Genomic DNA, 13,962 nt, shown 5'->3' with positions numbered 1-13,962 from the left:
CAGCATTCGCCCCCTCCAGTGTCTAAACTCAGTTACTGGCACTCGGTTTTGTCTTGTCGCACTGCTCTGAGGTGCGCCAGTAGCTCTGGCGCCTCCGGCGTACACCACGCAGCCCACTACTGCGGAAGGAATGGGCCTGGCTCCAGGACCTCGTGGAGTCCGGAAGGTGCCCGGTGGTGGCAGAGCTCCCCAACCAGGGCTAGAAGCCGTCGCAGAACACCCGTTTTGCGGGAGGACAGGGGGCGGAGGGAGGGAGTAACAGCCCTGAAAAGGTTGGAAGTCCAGGGACAGCCCTGGGCTCCGTGGGGCAAAGAATTGGAAGCCGCCGATCCTCCGCCTTTATTCGTCGGGTAAATAAGGGTCGAGGGTACAGACGCACGGGTGTCTACTGCGGGGTGAAGGAGCTGCCGCAAGATGCCACCCGGCGCCGGCCTTTGTGGCTGCTGTCATGAATATTCACGATGCTTTGGGCCAATCAACGTCTGAACAGCTTAAAGCACACCAATCGGCTTACCGCATGCAGATAAGCATCGTAACGCGCCGCTTTTCCTGAAACGGGCGGGGACTGGACAGCGGCTAGAAACGGAACCCAGAGTCGAAGGAGCTTGGTTTCCGGAGGAGTGTGTCCGCGCAATTGAACGACTTTATGTCACTTCCTATCGGATCGGCGGAAGTTGCTTCCGAGCGCGTTGAGCTTTGGCGAAGTGGGTTCCGGTGGTGGCAGAGGTGCTTGTGTTTTTGTCGGTACAGGAGAGTCGCTATGGCGGCGGTGGATTCGGATGTCGAATCGCTGCCGCGTGGGGGGTTCCGCTGCTGCCTCTGCCACGTTACTACAGCCAACCGTAAGCGGTGGCTAGTGAGGGACCCGGGGGTGGTTGCGGGCTTTCGTCTTTTGATCCTGGCGAAAGTTAGGGTTATAGGTAGTCAGTCGTTCTTGTCAAGTTGATTGGTAGGGTCTCTCACCTCCGTTTTTCTCTGCAAGTCCGAGGGGATTTGGAGAGTCGGGAAAGTTCCACCACATTACACTCCTCAGTATATGAAATCTCCACAACGCAAGTTTAATTGTTTTATTACTTCTTTAACCATCATCTATTGGACATATGCTCTGTGCCTGGTATTCTGCTGATCTTTAGGGTGGGGGAGGGGGGTTCAGAGATGAAGGAGCTCACCGTCTAGAGAATGAGAAAGTTTCAATGCTTTATAGATATGTTCGGAGAACTGTGGGACCACAGAGAATTAGTAACTAAATCAGAGAAGCCCTACAGAGGACCTACTCAAAGGAGGGGATGGATGAAATAGGTGTGGCATGAATGACTAGACCATAAGGTACCAGTGAGGAAGAGACAGAAGATGGGTTTGGAAAAATAGACAAGGTTCTTGTATGACACACAAGGGGTTCACTGTAACTTCAAATTCCACTTTTTTTTTTTTTTTGAGACAAGGTCTTGCTCTGTCACCCAGGCTGCAGTGCGGTGGTGTGATCTTGGCTCACTGCAGCCTCAACCTCCCGGGCTCAAACCATACCCCTGGCTAGCCTCCCAAGTAGTTGAGTCTACAGGTGTGCACCACCATACTTGGCTAATTTCTTTTTTCTTTTTTTTTTTTTTTTGAGACAGAGTCTCACTCTGTCACCCAGGCTGGAGTGCAGTGGCACGATCTTGGCTCACTGCAAGCTCCACCTCCTGGGTTCACCCCATTCTCCTGCCTCAGCCTCCCGTGTAGCCGGGACTACAGGCACCCGCCACCACGCCCGGCTAATTTTTTGTATTTTTTAGTAGAGACGAGGTTTCACCATGTTAGTCAGGATGGTCTCGATCTCCTGACCTCGTGACCCGCCCGCCTCGGCCTCCCAAAGTGCCGGGATTACAGGCCTGAGCCACCGCGCCCGGCCTACTTGGCAAATTTTTTAGTTTTTTGTAGAGATGGGTTTTCACCATGTTGCCTAGGCTGGTCTCCAATTCCTGGCCTCAAGCGATCTTCCCATCTTGGCCTCCCAAAGTGCTGGGATTACAGGCGTGAGCCAATGTGCCCAGCCCTACTTTTGAAGTCTGGAATCACAGTGTTCCCTAAACAGGGTTTACTTCCATTCTTCCTTTTCACTGTGAATGGCACTATCACTGTTCATCCAGTAAGCCAAGCCAGAAACCTAGGAGTCTTCTTTGGCCCCACATTTACTTTGGTGACATCAAGCAGCTAACTCAATAAAATAATAGCAACGGTTAGTTTTTCAACATTTACCGTGTACCAGACTCTCTCTGCCAAGTGATATATCTGAATAATACCTGTGTGTGAGGTGCTAGATACTGATATTTCCATTTTATATCTGAGGAAGTTGATGCACAGTGAGGCTTCATAACTTGACCAAGGTCTCACACAGGTTGACAGAGCTGGGATTTGAACTTGGGCAATGTAATTTCAGATCCTGCCTTTGACATCACTATATTATACCATGTCCAAAGATGATCCACAAAGTATTCCATGATCCAAATTTTTTTAGTTCTTGTGTAGATGACCTGGATAAGTTACCTGTTAATTTGTTTCCAACTCTACCTAGCACAAATAGGTGGTTTAAGAAATACTTTACTATCACACTGTTCTTTAAGTAAAAATAAACAAAATACTTGTAGTGTAGCCAGTTCTCCTGGGAACCCTCGTCTCTACTAAAAATACAAAAATTAGCCGGGTGTGGTGACACACGCCTGTAGTCCCACCTACTCACGAGGCTGAGGCAGGAGAATTTCTTGAACCTGGGAGGCAGACGTTGCAGTGAGTGGAGACTGCGCCACTGAACTCCAGCGGGGGCGACAGTGAGACTCTGTTTAAAAAAAATAAATTAAAAAAAAAAGAATGTACTATTTAGACAAATGTATAAGAGAGGAAGGTGAAAGGAGCCAGGACTTTGTTTATTCAAAGGTCACAGTTTCTGTGGCTTGGAAGGATCAGTAAGATTTAGGTATGCAGAGAGCAAAGGCAGACACGTCGAAGAGTGCTTTGCATGTTTTTGTCTCACACTTGTCTTTGCAGGACCCAGCCTTGATGCCCACTTGGGAGGCAGAAAGCACCGGCACCTGGTAGAACTACGAGCTGCGAGAAAGGCCCAGGGACTTCGAAGTGTGTTTGTCAGTGGCTTTCCCAGGGATGTGGATTCTGCTCAGCTCTCTGAGTACTTCCTAGCATTTGGACCTGTGGCCAGTGTTGTCATGGACAAGGACAAGGTAAAGTGAATGGCTCTCGGGTTAAAGAATGAATCAGTGCTGGGCGCGATGGCTCACGCCTGTAATCCCATCACTTTGGGAGGCTGAGGCAGGCGGATTACCTGAGGTTAGGAGTTTGAGACCAGCCTGGCCAACATGGTGAAACCCCATCTCTACTAAAAATAAAAAATTAGCTGGGTGTGATGGCGCATGCCTGTAGTCCCAGCTACTTGGGATGCTGAGGCAGGAGAATCGCTTGAACCCGGGAGGTGGAGGTTGCAGCAAGCTGAGATCGTGCCACTGTGCTCCAGCCTGGATTACAGAGCAAGACTCCGTCTTAAGAAAAAAAAGAATGAATCAGATGTGCTGTGTACCAAAGAGACAAGAGAGAGAAACCAACAGCCTCTTTGAGCTGGTTCCTAATGTGGCTTATTCTTGATGGACATCACAGTACTTGGGCTAGACCAGCTTTGGGAGCTTCTCACACCTCCCCCACCCCTTGAATTTTTATTTTTATTATTATATTTTTGAGTGCAGTGGCACAATCTCAGCTCACTGTGACGTCTACCTCCTGGGTTCCAGCAATTCTCACACCTTAGCCACCCAAGCAACTGAGATTACAGGCGCGTGCCCCCATGCCCAGCTAATTTTTGTATTTTTAGTAGAGACAGGGTTTCACCATGTTGGCCAGGCTGGTCTCGAACTCCTGACCTCAGGTGATCCGTGCACCTCAACCTCCCCAAATGCTGGGATTACGGGCGTGAGCCACTGCTCCCAGTCCCACCCTTTGGATTTTATCACTTCACCAGAGTTAGTCACTGGGGGATTTTTTTGTGTGTGTCATCTATTGATTCAGTGAATTCTTTGCCAAATATTTATTCACAGCTAACTTTGTACTAGGCACTATGCTTAGGGCTGCATTCTGAGTAGTGAATGGGGTAGATATGGTCCCTGCTCTCACAGAGCCTATAGTCTAGAGGAGAAAGTAAACAATTAAGTAATTATAGTGAAAGTTGGTGCTTAAAGAACAACATACCATTGGATCAACTCCACAAGAACCTGGTTGATAAACCAGTTAGCAGTTTATTAACTTACACTGAGGGTACTAAGGTTGTTTGGTTAGAACACCCTGTCCTTTGGAGAGTGTTAGATAAACAAGCTTGTGCTTTTTGTGTTGCTTCCCTGTAGGTTTTGGTCCCTTGAAAAAAGTTCACTGTTGAGGTGCTGTGTTCCTTGGTCATACTGTGGTTCTGAGGCTGTACTCTTGTTATGTAGGCATGGCTTAGGTGATCCAAAATATCCCTTTGCAGCCCAGGTTATCTTTTAGAATGGGGTGGAGCCTGTGTTTGTTAGGGATTGCATTCAGCAACCAAACTACAAATGGCTTAAACAATAGGAATTTAGTTTTTCTCATGTAACAAGAAGTCCAGACCTGGACAGTTCAGGGCTTTGCTGTTTTCCTGCTCTGCCATTATTGGTATGTGGCTCTTCATAGTTACGATACTGCTGCCCCATATCTTCAGAAAAGAAGAAGGGGCAGCTTGTAGGGCAGAGTATAAAAGGTTAGTGTCGGCCAGGTCCAGTGGCTCACGCCTGTAATCCCAGCACTTTGGTAGGCTGGGGCGGGTGGATCATGTGAGGTCGGGAGTTCGAGATCAGCCTGACCAACATGGAGAAACCCCGTCTCTACTAAAAATACAAAATTAGCGGGGCGTGGTGGCACATGCCTGTAATCCCAGCTACTCGGGAGGCTGAGGCAGGAGAATCGCTTGAACCCGGGAGGCGGAGGCTGCCTTGAGCCGACATCGCGCCATTGCATTCCAGCCTGGGCAACAAGAGCGAAACTCCATCTCATAAAAAAAGGTTAGTGTCAGCTGAGTTTGAGTCCCCTCCTCTATTTTTTTTCCTTTTATTCTGAGAAAAATGCCTTTTCTTTTTCCTTTTTTTTTTTTTTTTTTTGAGAGGGAGTTTTTTTGTGGTAGAATTCTGGCCACTGAGATATAAGTAGAAGTTTACTGAGGAGGCCTTTAGAAAAAGTATTTCTCTCGACTGGGCACAGTGGCTTACGCCTGTAATCCCAGCACTTTGGGAGACTGAGGTGGGAGGATCACCTAAGGTCAGGAGTTCGAGACCAGCCTGGCCAACATGGCGAAACCCCATCTCTACTAAAAATACAAAAATTAGCTGGGTGTGGTGGCAGGCGCCTGTAATCCCAGCAAGCAATTCTCCCGCCTCAGCCTCCCGAGTAGCTGGGACTGCAGGCGCGTGCCACCACACCCGGCTAATTTTTGTATTTTTAGTAGAGACCAGGTTTCACCATGTTCGCCAGGCTGGTCTCGAACTTCTGACCTCAGGTGATCCGCCTACCTCGGCCTCTCAAAGTGCTGGGATTACAGGTGTGAACTACTGTGCCTGGCCTAATTTTTTGTATTTTTAGTAGAGACAGGATTTCTCCATGTTGGCCATGCTGGTCTTGAACTCCTGGCCTCAAGTGATCTGCCCACCTCAGCCACGCAAACTGCTGGGATTACAGGCGTAAGCCACTGTGCTCCGCCTAATGATTAACATTTTTATTGAGGAACTACTATGCATCAATTGTGTGCTAAGCACATTATGTACACTTGCATCTAATCTCCACAACATTCTCTTAAGGGAAATGGTCAGTAGGCAGTTGGAGATTTGGGAGTTTAAGACACTGCTTGTGAGGCAGTTACAAGTTACTTAACCTCTTTGAGTTTCAGTTTCTTAATTTGTAAAATGGAAATAATAATACATACTTCGTAGGTGTCTTATGAGCCTCAGACATCGTTTGTGTGAACTGCTTAGTTTATAATAAGCCCTCAACAAATAGTAACTCTAGCTATGGATGGTGGTGTTGAGAGGACAAAAATGGCAAGGACACAGGCTCCTTATTTTTATTTATTTATTTATTTGAGATGGAGTTTTGCCCTTGTTGCCCAGGCTGGAATGCAGTGGCGCGAACTTGGCTTGGGGCGATCTCAGCTCACCGCAAACTCTGGCTCCCGGGTTCAAGTGATTCTCCTGCCTCAGCCTCCCGAGTAGCTGGGATTACAGGCATGCGCCACCGCGCCTGGCTAATTTTGTATTTTTAGTAGAGATGGGGTTTCTCCATGTTGCTGGTCTGGAATTCCCGACCTCAGGTGATCCGCCTGCCTCGGCCTCCCAAAGTGCTGGGATTACAGGCTGGGATTACAGGCGTGCGCCACCGTGCCAGGCCTGTTTATTTATTTTTGAGGTGGAGTCTCATTCTGTCTCCCAGGCTGGAGTGCAGTGGCACGATCTTGGCTCACTGCAACCTCTGCCTCCTGAGTAGCTGGGTTTACAGGCGCCTGCCACCATGCCCGGCTAATTTTTGTATTTTTAGTAGAGACGGGTTTCACCATGTTGGCCAGGCTGGTCTGGAACTCCTGGCGTCACATGATCTGTCCGCCTCAGCCTCCCAGGGTGCTGGGATTACATGCATGAGCTACCACGCCCAGCTGACACAGTCTTCTGAATCTGCCAGTCCTGCCCTCCCTGATGCCTTCTGTGAGGTTTTGGAGAAAAATAGGAGCACAGACAGGCCCAGTGAAAGAGACTCTTAATTTCCATCTGGGGCTTTGGTTACAAACTTGGTGGTGTACTGCAGTCTGGTAAACTGTGGTTTATTAGAGTCAGAAGACTGGCCTGGGCAGGTCCAAGTAGCTACCTTTGTCCTTGGCCTCACTTCAGTTCTTTGCTGTGTTTGGCATAGGGGTAGAAGTAAGTCTGCGCATGGTGATGTGCCCCTATCATCCCAGCTACTGAGGAGGCTGAGGCGGGAGGTTCGCTTGAGCCCAGGAATTCAAAGCTACAGTGAGCTATAATCACATCACTGCACTCCAGTCTTGGTGACAGAGCAAAATCCTGTCTTTAAAAAAAGAAGGGTGTGGCCGGGCCAGGTGGCTCACACCTGTAATCCCAGCACTTTGGGAGGCTGAGGTGGTTAGATCACCTGAGGTCAGGAGTTTGAGACCAGCCTGGCCAACATGGTGAAACCGTCTCTACTAAAAATACAAAAAAATTAGCTGGGCGTAGTGGCAGATTCCTGTAATCCCAGCTATTCAGGAGACTGAGGCAGGAGAATTGCTTGAACCCGAGAGGCGGAGGTTGGAGTGAGCCGAGATCGTGCCACTGCACTCCAGCCTGGGCAACAGAGCGAGACTCCTTCTCAAAAAAAAAAAGTAAAATAAAATAAATAGTATACAATTCATTGGTTGGTTATTTACTATTGGGTAAAAAAATAAACAAACAAAAAGTATACAATTGGCTGGGCATGGTGGCTCATGGCCTGTAATCCCAGCACTTTGGGAGGCCGAGGCAGGTGGATCACCTAAGGTTAGGAGTTGGAGACCAGCCTGGCCAACATGGTGAAACCCCATCTCTACTAAAAATACAAAAAATTACCTGGGTGTGGTGGTGGGCACCTATAATCCTAGCTACTCGGGAGGCAGAAAGCAGGAGAATCACTTGAACCTGGGAGGCAGAGGTTGCTGTGAGCCAAGATCGTGCCACTGCACTCCAGCCTGGGTGACAGAACGAAACTCCATCTCAAAAAAAAAAAAAAAAAAAGTATACAATTTAGGGGTGGGTGTGGTGGCTGATACCTGTAATCCCAGCCCTCTGGGAGGCCGAGGTGGGAGGATCACTTGAGATCAGGAGTTTGAGACCAGCCTGGCTAATGTGGTGAAACCACATCTCTATTAAAAATACAAAAATTAGCCAGGTGTAGTGGTGCGTGTCTTTGATTCCAGCTACTAGGGAGGCTGAGGTAGGATAATTGCTTGAACCCCGGGAGGCAGAGGTAATAATGAGCCGAGAGTGTGCCACTGTACTCAAGTCTGAGTGACAGAGACACTCTGTCTCAAAAAAAAAAAAAAAAAAATACAATTCAGTGAGTGTTAGTATATTCACAGGGTTCTTCAACCCTCATGACTGATTCCAGAATGTTTTCACCACTCCAAAAAGAAACGCCTTATCCTTTCTTGGTTACTTCCCATTTGTGATTTAGGCCTGTGTACTGGTGAAGCCATCCTCCTGGTTGAGTTAATTGTTATGTATGGTGTGAGGTAAAGGTTCAACATCATTGTTTTGCATGTGGCTATCCAGTTGTCCCAGCACAATTTGTTGACAAGACTGTTCTTTCCCCATTGAATCTTCTTGACACCGTTGTTCAAAATCAGTTGACCAAAGATGTGTGAATTTCTTTCAGGGTCTCAATTCCATTCCCTTCATCTGAATGTCTATCTTTATGCTAGCACCACTCTGTCTTGGTGCTACCTTACTCTAGCAGGAACCTTTTTATAAACAAGATGAGGGTCCAGCTTTACCATTGGAGGATATAAAAGAATATGGACTTTTTTGCCTAAAGCAGTCCTGTTTTTCCTCTTCTTTTTTTTTCTTTTTGAGACGGAGATTCGCTCTTGTTGTCCAGACTGGACAGACTGGAGTACAATGCACAATCTCGGCTCACAGTAACCTCCGCCTCCCGGGTTCAAGCAATTGCCTCCTGAGTAGCTGGGATTACAGGCATGCACCACCATATCTGGCTAATTTTGTATTTTTAGTGGAGATGGGGTTTTGCCATGTTGGTCAGGCTGGTTTTGAACTCCTGACCTCAAGTGATCCACCCGCCTAGGCCTCCCAAAGTGTTGAGATTAGGCGTGAGCTACTGCGCCCGGCGTTTTTCCTCTTCTTGCTAATATTTTACCTTTAAAAAAATATGGCCAGTGAATATCATTGAACTCACCAACTTACAACAATATAGTTGTTATATTGCTGTTATTCCTAGATAGTGAGTTCTTGAAGACAGGGTTTATGAGTTTGTATTTATGCCTCGCACAGTGTTTATTACATGAATTGATTTTTTTTTTTTTTTTTTTTTGGAGACAGAGTCTCCCACTGTCGCCCAGGCTGGAGTGCAGTGGCGCCATCTCAGCTCACTGCAAGCTCCGCCTCCTGGGTTCATGCCATTCTCCTGCCTTAGCCTCCCTAGTAGCTGGGACTACAGGCGCCCACCACCACGCCTGGCTAATTTTTTGTATTTTTAGTAGAGACGGGGTTTCACCATGTTAGCCAGGATGGTCTCTATCTCCTGACCTCGTGATCCACCCACCTCGGCCTCCTAAAGTGCTGGGATTACAGGCGTGAGCCACTGCACCCAGCTGCATGAATTGATTTTTTAAAAGATTTTTAAAGTGGACTCATTCTGTTACATGGATCCTTAATAAATGTTTAAAAAAATTCTAATTATATCAGGAAAAGTTATAGGGTGGGTCATAGTGTAATCACATCATTGGGAAGAGTAGGGGACAAATAATGTAGATAAAATGAGGTTTTTAGAGGCAGACTGGGGTGAGAGTAAAATGTTTGGAATAGGAGTGAGGGAAAGAATTGTTTTTCTACTTTTTTTTGAGACAGGGTCTCGCTGTCTCTCAGGCTGGTGTGTAGTGGTGCAATCACAATCACAGCTCACTGCAGCCTCAACATCCTGGGCCCAAGTGATGCTCTTATCATAGCCTCCCAAGTAATTGGAACTACAGGTGTGTGCTGCCATGCCTGGCTAATTTTCTTTTTCTTTTCTTTTTTTTTTTGAGACAGGGTGTGGTTGTGTCACCCAGACTGGAGTGCAGTGGTGCGATCTCGGCTCATTGCAATCTCAGCCCCCGGGCTCAAGCAATCCTCCCATCTCTTCCTCTCCAGTAGCTGGGATTACCTGGCTAATTTAAAAAAATTGTACTGGCCAGGTGCAGTGGCTCACACCTGTAATCCCAGCACTTTAGGAGGCCGAGTTTAGGAGTTTAGGAATTAGAGACCAGCCTGGCCAACATGGTGAAACCCCATTTTTACTGAAAATACAAAAATTAGCTGGGCATGGTGGCATGTGCCTGTAATCCCAGCTACTAGGGAGACTGAGGCAGGAGAATCGCTGGAACCTGGGAGGCAGAGGTTGCAGTAAGCCGAGATCACCCCGCTGCACTCCAGCCTGGGTGACAGAGTAAGACTCCATCTCAAAAAAAAAAAATTGTTTGTAGAGATGGGATCTCACTATGTTGCCCTGGTTGGTCTCCAACTCCTGGGCTCAAGCAGTTCTCCTGCCTCAGCCTCCCAAAGTGCTGGGATTACAGGCATGAGTCACTGCACCTGGCTGAAAATTGCTTTTCTAGATATGTCCCCTGTTATTATGAAAACAGCAAGCAAATATTCTCAATTTATGGGATAGTCTCCATTTCAAATATTCTCATCCACTGTAGATCTCGTGCTTAGATTCTTGGTTCCAAAATCATCATCTCTGCCCCTGTTGTTTACCAGGGAGTGTTTGCCATTGTGGAGATGGGGGACGTGGGTGCTCGAGAGGCTGTCTTGTCACAGTCCCAGCACAGCCTGGGAGGACATCGCCTGCGTGTCCGCCCACGGGAGCAGAAGGAGTTCCAGAGCCCGGCCTCCAAATCCCCCAAAGGAGCGGCCCCCGACAGTCACCAGCTGGCCAAAGCGCTAGCTGAGGCTGCAGACGTGGGGGCACAAATGATAAAGCTTGTGGGGCTGAGGGAGTTGTCCGAGGCCGAGCGGCAGCTTCGCAGCCTAGTGGTGGCCCTGATGCAGGAGGTCTTCACAGAGTTCTTCCCTGGTAAGTTACCTCCCCTACTATGTCTGAGCCCTCCCTGGCCTTTGCTCTCCTGTGTCTGTATCCCCAGTCCTTCCTCCGCTAGAGGTGTTTGGTTGCTCTTCCATCTTTGTGCTCTGTTTTGTTCTTCCCCCTGCTCCTCCCTAACTTCTCTTGACCTTTCTTCTCTGCTCGGCACCCAGGCTGTGTGGTCCACCCTTTTGGCTCTTCCATAAATAGCTTCGATGTCCATGGCTGTGATCTTGACCTCTTCTTGGATCTGGGTGACTTGGAAGAGCCCCAGGTGAGTGAGTGTCCCAGGGAGGCAGCTGGGAAAAGTCCATGAGAATGGCCATGTGACTGTGGGCAAGTCCTTTAGCTCTCCATGTCTTAGTTCCTCATCTACAATGCAGATAATAGGACCTACCTGAAAGAGTTTATTGTAATTGGAGAGATGTGAATATGGATGAGTATTAGATAGGATGAAAATGAACTGACAGGGCCAGGCGCAGTGGCTCGCGCCTGTAATCCCAGCACTTTGGGAGGCTGAGGTGGGTGGATCACCTGAGGTCAGGAGTTCAAGACCAGCCTGGCCAACATATAGTGAAACCCCCATCTCTACTAAAAAAAAAATACAAAAATTAGCTGGGTGTGTGGTGTACACCTGTAGTCCCAGCTACTTGGGAGGCCGAGGCAGGAGAATCACTTGAACCCGGGAGGCAGAGGTTGCAGTGAGCCGAGATTGTGCCACTACACTCCAGCCTGGGTGACAGAGGGAGACTCCTCAAAAAAAAAAAAAAAAAAAAAAGAATTGACATGGATACCTGGCAGTCATAACAAAAAAAAAATTTCAAAATGGTGTGTGCAATATGATCTTATTTTGGAAAAAATATATTTAAAATTATACAATAAGGTCCTTTTAGTTTTGCTTATGTGTATTTTTTTTTTTTGAGAGACCGTCTAACTCTGTCACCCAAAATGGAGTACAGTGCTGTGATCTCGGCTCACTGCAACCTCCACCTCCTGGGTTCAAGTGATTCTCGTGCCTCAGCCTCCCAAGTAGCTCGGAATACAGGCACACGCCACCATGCCTGGCTAATTTTTTGTATTTTTAGTAGAGATGGGATTTCTTCATGTAGGCCAGACTGGTCTTGGACTCCTGGCCTCAAGTGATCCACCCACCTTGGCCTCCCAAAGTGCTGGGATTACAGGAATGAGCTACCATGCCCGGCCACTTAACCTGTATTTTCTAACATCTAATGTACAGATTCTGTTTAGGAAAGGATTATTATTATTACTTAGAAATAGGGTCTCACTATGTTTCCCAGGCTGGTCTCGAACTCCTGGGCTCAAGGAATCCTCCTGCCTCATTCTCCCAAATTGTTGGGATTACAGGTTTAAGCCCCCATGCCCAGCCTATTATTATTTTCAAAAAATAGACTTGGCCGGGCGCGGTGGTTCACGCCTGTGTAATGCCAGCACTTTGGGAGGCAAGGCAGGTGGATCACCTGAGGTCAGGAGTTTGAGACCAGCCTGGCCAACATGGTGAAATGCTGTCTCTACTAAAAATACAAAAATCAGCCGGGTATGGTGGCACGTACCTGTAATCCCAGCTACTCAGGAGGCTGAGGCAGGAGAGACAGCTTGAACCCAGGAGGCGGAGGTTGCAGTGAGCCGAGATCGCGCCACTGCACTCCAGCCTGGATGACAGATTGAGACTCCATCTCAAAAAAAAAAAAAAAAAAATGGACTTTATTTTTTAGAGCAGTGTTAGATTCACAGCAAAAGTGAGCAGAAAGTAGTTTCTATATGCCTGCTGCCCCCGCAACAGGAGTTTTAAAATGTTTTATCATTATTTTTATCTTTCTCTACACACACACACTCTCTATTTATATTTTCTGAATCATCTGAGAGAAGGTTGCATGTATCACATTCCTTTACCCCTCAATACTTCAATGTGTGTTATGCAAGAACAAAGGTATTCTAGTGTAAAGGTATTCTAGTGTATAACCACAGTACCATTATCAAGTTGAGGAAATGTTACATTGACACAGATGTAAACCTTTACAGACTTTACAGTCCATACTCTAATTTGGTCAGCTGTCCTGTCAATGGACTGTTACAGTTTCTCTTTCGTCTGTAATAGTTCCTCTGTTTTTGTCTTTCACGACAATGACATTTTTTGCAGAGGTAGACCTTTTATTTTATAGAATTAAAAGGTTATCTTTAAAAAAAAAAAGGGTTCCTGTGAAGATTAAATGAGTTAATATGTATAAAGACCTTAGAATAGAGCTGAATAAGCTGGAAGTAATATTATCTTGAGAGATCCCTGCTTAGGGAACAGCAGAAACATTTCACTCAGTTCATTTCTGTCCACAGCCAGTCCCAAAGGCTCCAGAATCTCCATCGCTGGACTCGGCCCTGGCTTCCCCACTGGACCCTCAAGCCCTGGCCTGCACCCCAGCTTCCCCTCCAGATTCACAACCTCCTGCTTCTCCCCAGGATTCTGAAGCCCTGGACTTTGAAACCCCTTCCTCCTCCCTGGCGCCCCAAACTCCGGACTCTGCCTTGGCCTCCGAGACCCTTGCTTCTCCCCAGTCTCTGCCTCCAGCTTCACCACTGCTAGAGGACAGGGAAGAGGGGGACCTGGGGAAGGCCTCGGAACTAGCAGAGACCCCAAAGGAGGAGAAAGCAGAGGGGGCAGCAATGCTGGAGCTGGTGGGATCCATTCTCCGGGGCTGTGTCCCTGGGGTGTATCGAGTCCAAACTGTGCCCTCTGCCCGGCGCCCTGTGGTCAAGTTCTGTCATCGGCCTTCAGGTCTCCACGGTGATGTCTCCCTCAGTAACCGGTACCTTTCTTTTTTTTGAGACGACATTTCACTCGTTGCCCAGGCTGGAGTACAGTGGTGCCATCTTGGCTCTCTGCAACCTCTGCCTCCCAGGTTGAAGTGATTCTCCTGCCTCAGCCTCCCAAGTAGCTGGGATTACAGGCATGCGCCACCACGCCTGGCTAATTTTGTATTTTTAGTAGAGACGGGGTTTCTCCATGTTGGTCAGGCTGGTCTTGAACTCCCGACCTCAGGTGATCACCTGCCTCGGCCTCCCAAAGTGCGGGGACTACAGGCG

General features: G+C 47.9%; 1 protein-coding gene across 2 annotated transcripts in view, besides 2 other annotated features; it reads left to right on the top strand.

Annotated features, from left to right (window-relative positions):
* Positions 218 to 913: an enhancer, noted in NCBI's record as "OCT4-NANOG-H3K27ac-H3K4me1 hESC enhancer chr11:62358805-62359500 (GRCh37/hg19 assembly coordinates)". NCBI's record gives its function as "activates a minimal SCP1, AML or CMV promoter by ChIP-STARR-seq in primed H9 embryonic stem cells {active_cell/tissue: H9 hESC(primed)}" and the evidence as "EXISTENCE:reporter gene assay evidence [ECO:0000049][PMID:30033119]".
* Positions 572 to 801: an enhancer, noted in NCBI's record as "active region_4827". NCBI's record gives its function as "activates an Ori minimal core promoter by ATAC-STARR-seq in GM12878 lymphoblastoid cells {active_cell/tissue: GM12878}" and the evidence as "EXISTENCE:reporter gene assay evidence [ECO:0000049][PMID:35858748]".
* TUT1 (terminal uridylyl transferase 1, U6 snRNA-specific) overlaps positions 723 to 13,962 on the top strand; it is a 16,472-nt gene continuing 3,232 nt past the window's right edge. For both annotated transcript variants that reach the window (NM_001367906.1, NM_022830.3), the window contains exons 1-5: positions 723 to 842; positions 3,025 to 3,215; positions 10,545 to 10,860; positions 11,040 to 11,140; positions 13,216 to 13,685. In NM_001367906.1, the coding sequence (NP_001354835.1) occupies positions 761 to 842; positions 3,025 to 3,215; positions 10,545 to 10,860; positions 11,040 to 11,140; positions 13,216 to 13,685 (1,160 nt within the window). In that variant the 5' untranslated portion in view covers positions 723 to 760. The remainder of the gene's footprint in view (positions 843 to 3,024; positions 3,216 to 10,544; positions 10,861 to 11,039; positions 11,141 to 13,215; positions 13,686 to 13,962) is intronic.

Source organism: Homo sapiens, chromosome 11 (assembly GCF_000001405.40).
Source record: "Homo sapiens chromosome 11, GRCh38.p14 Primary Assembly".
In the NCBI taxonomy this organism is placed as follows: domain Eukaryota; kingdom Metazoa; phylum Chordata; class Mammalia; order Primates; family Hominidae; genus Homo; species Homo sapiens.
Note: the sequence above shows the minus strand (reverse complement) of the source record. Positions and strands in the feature narration are given on the sequence as shown.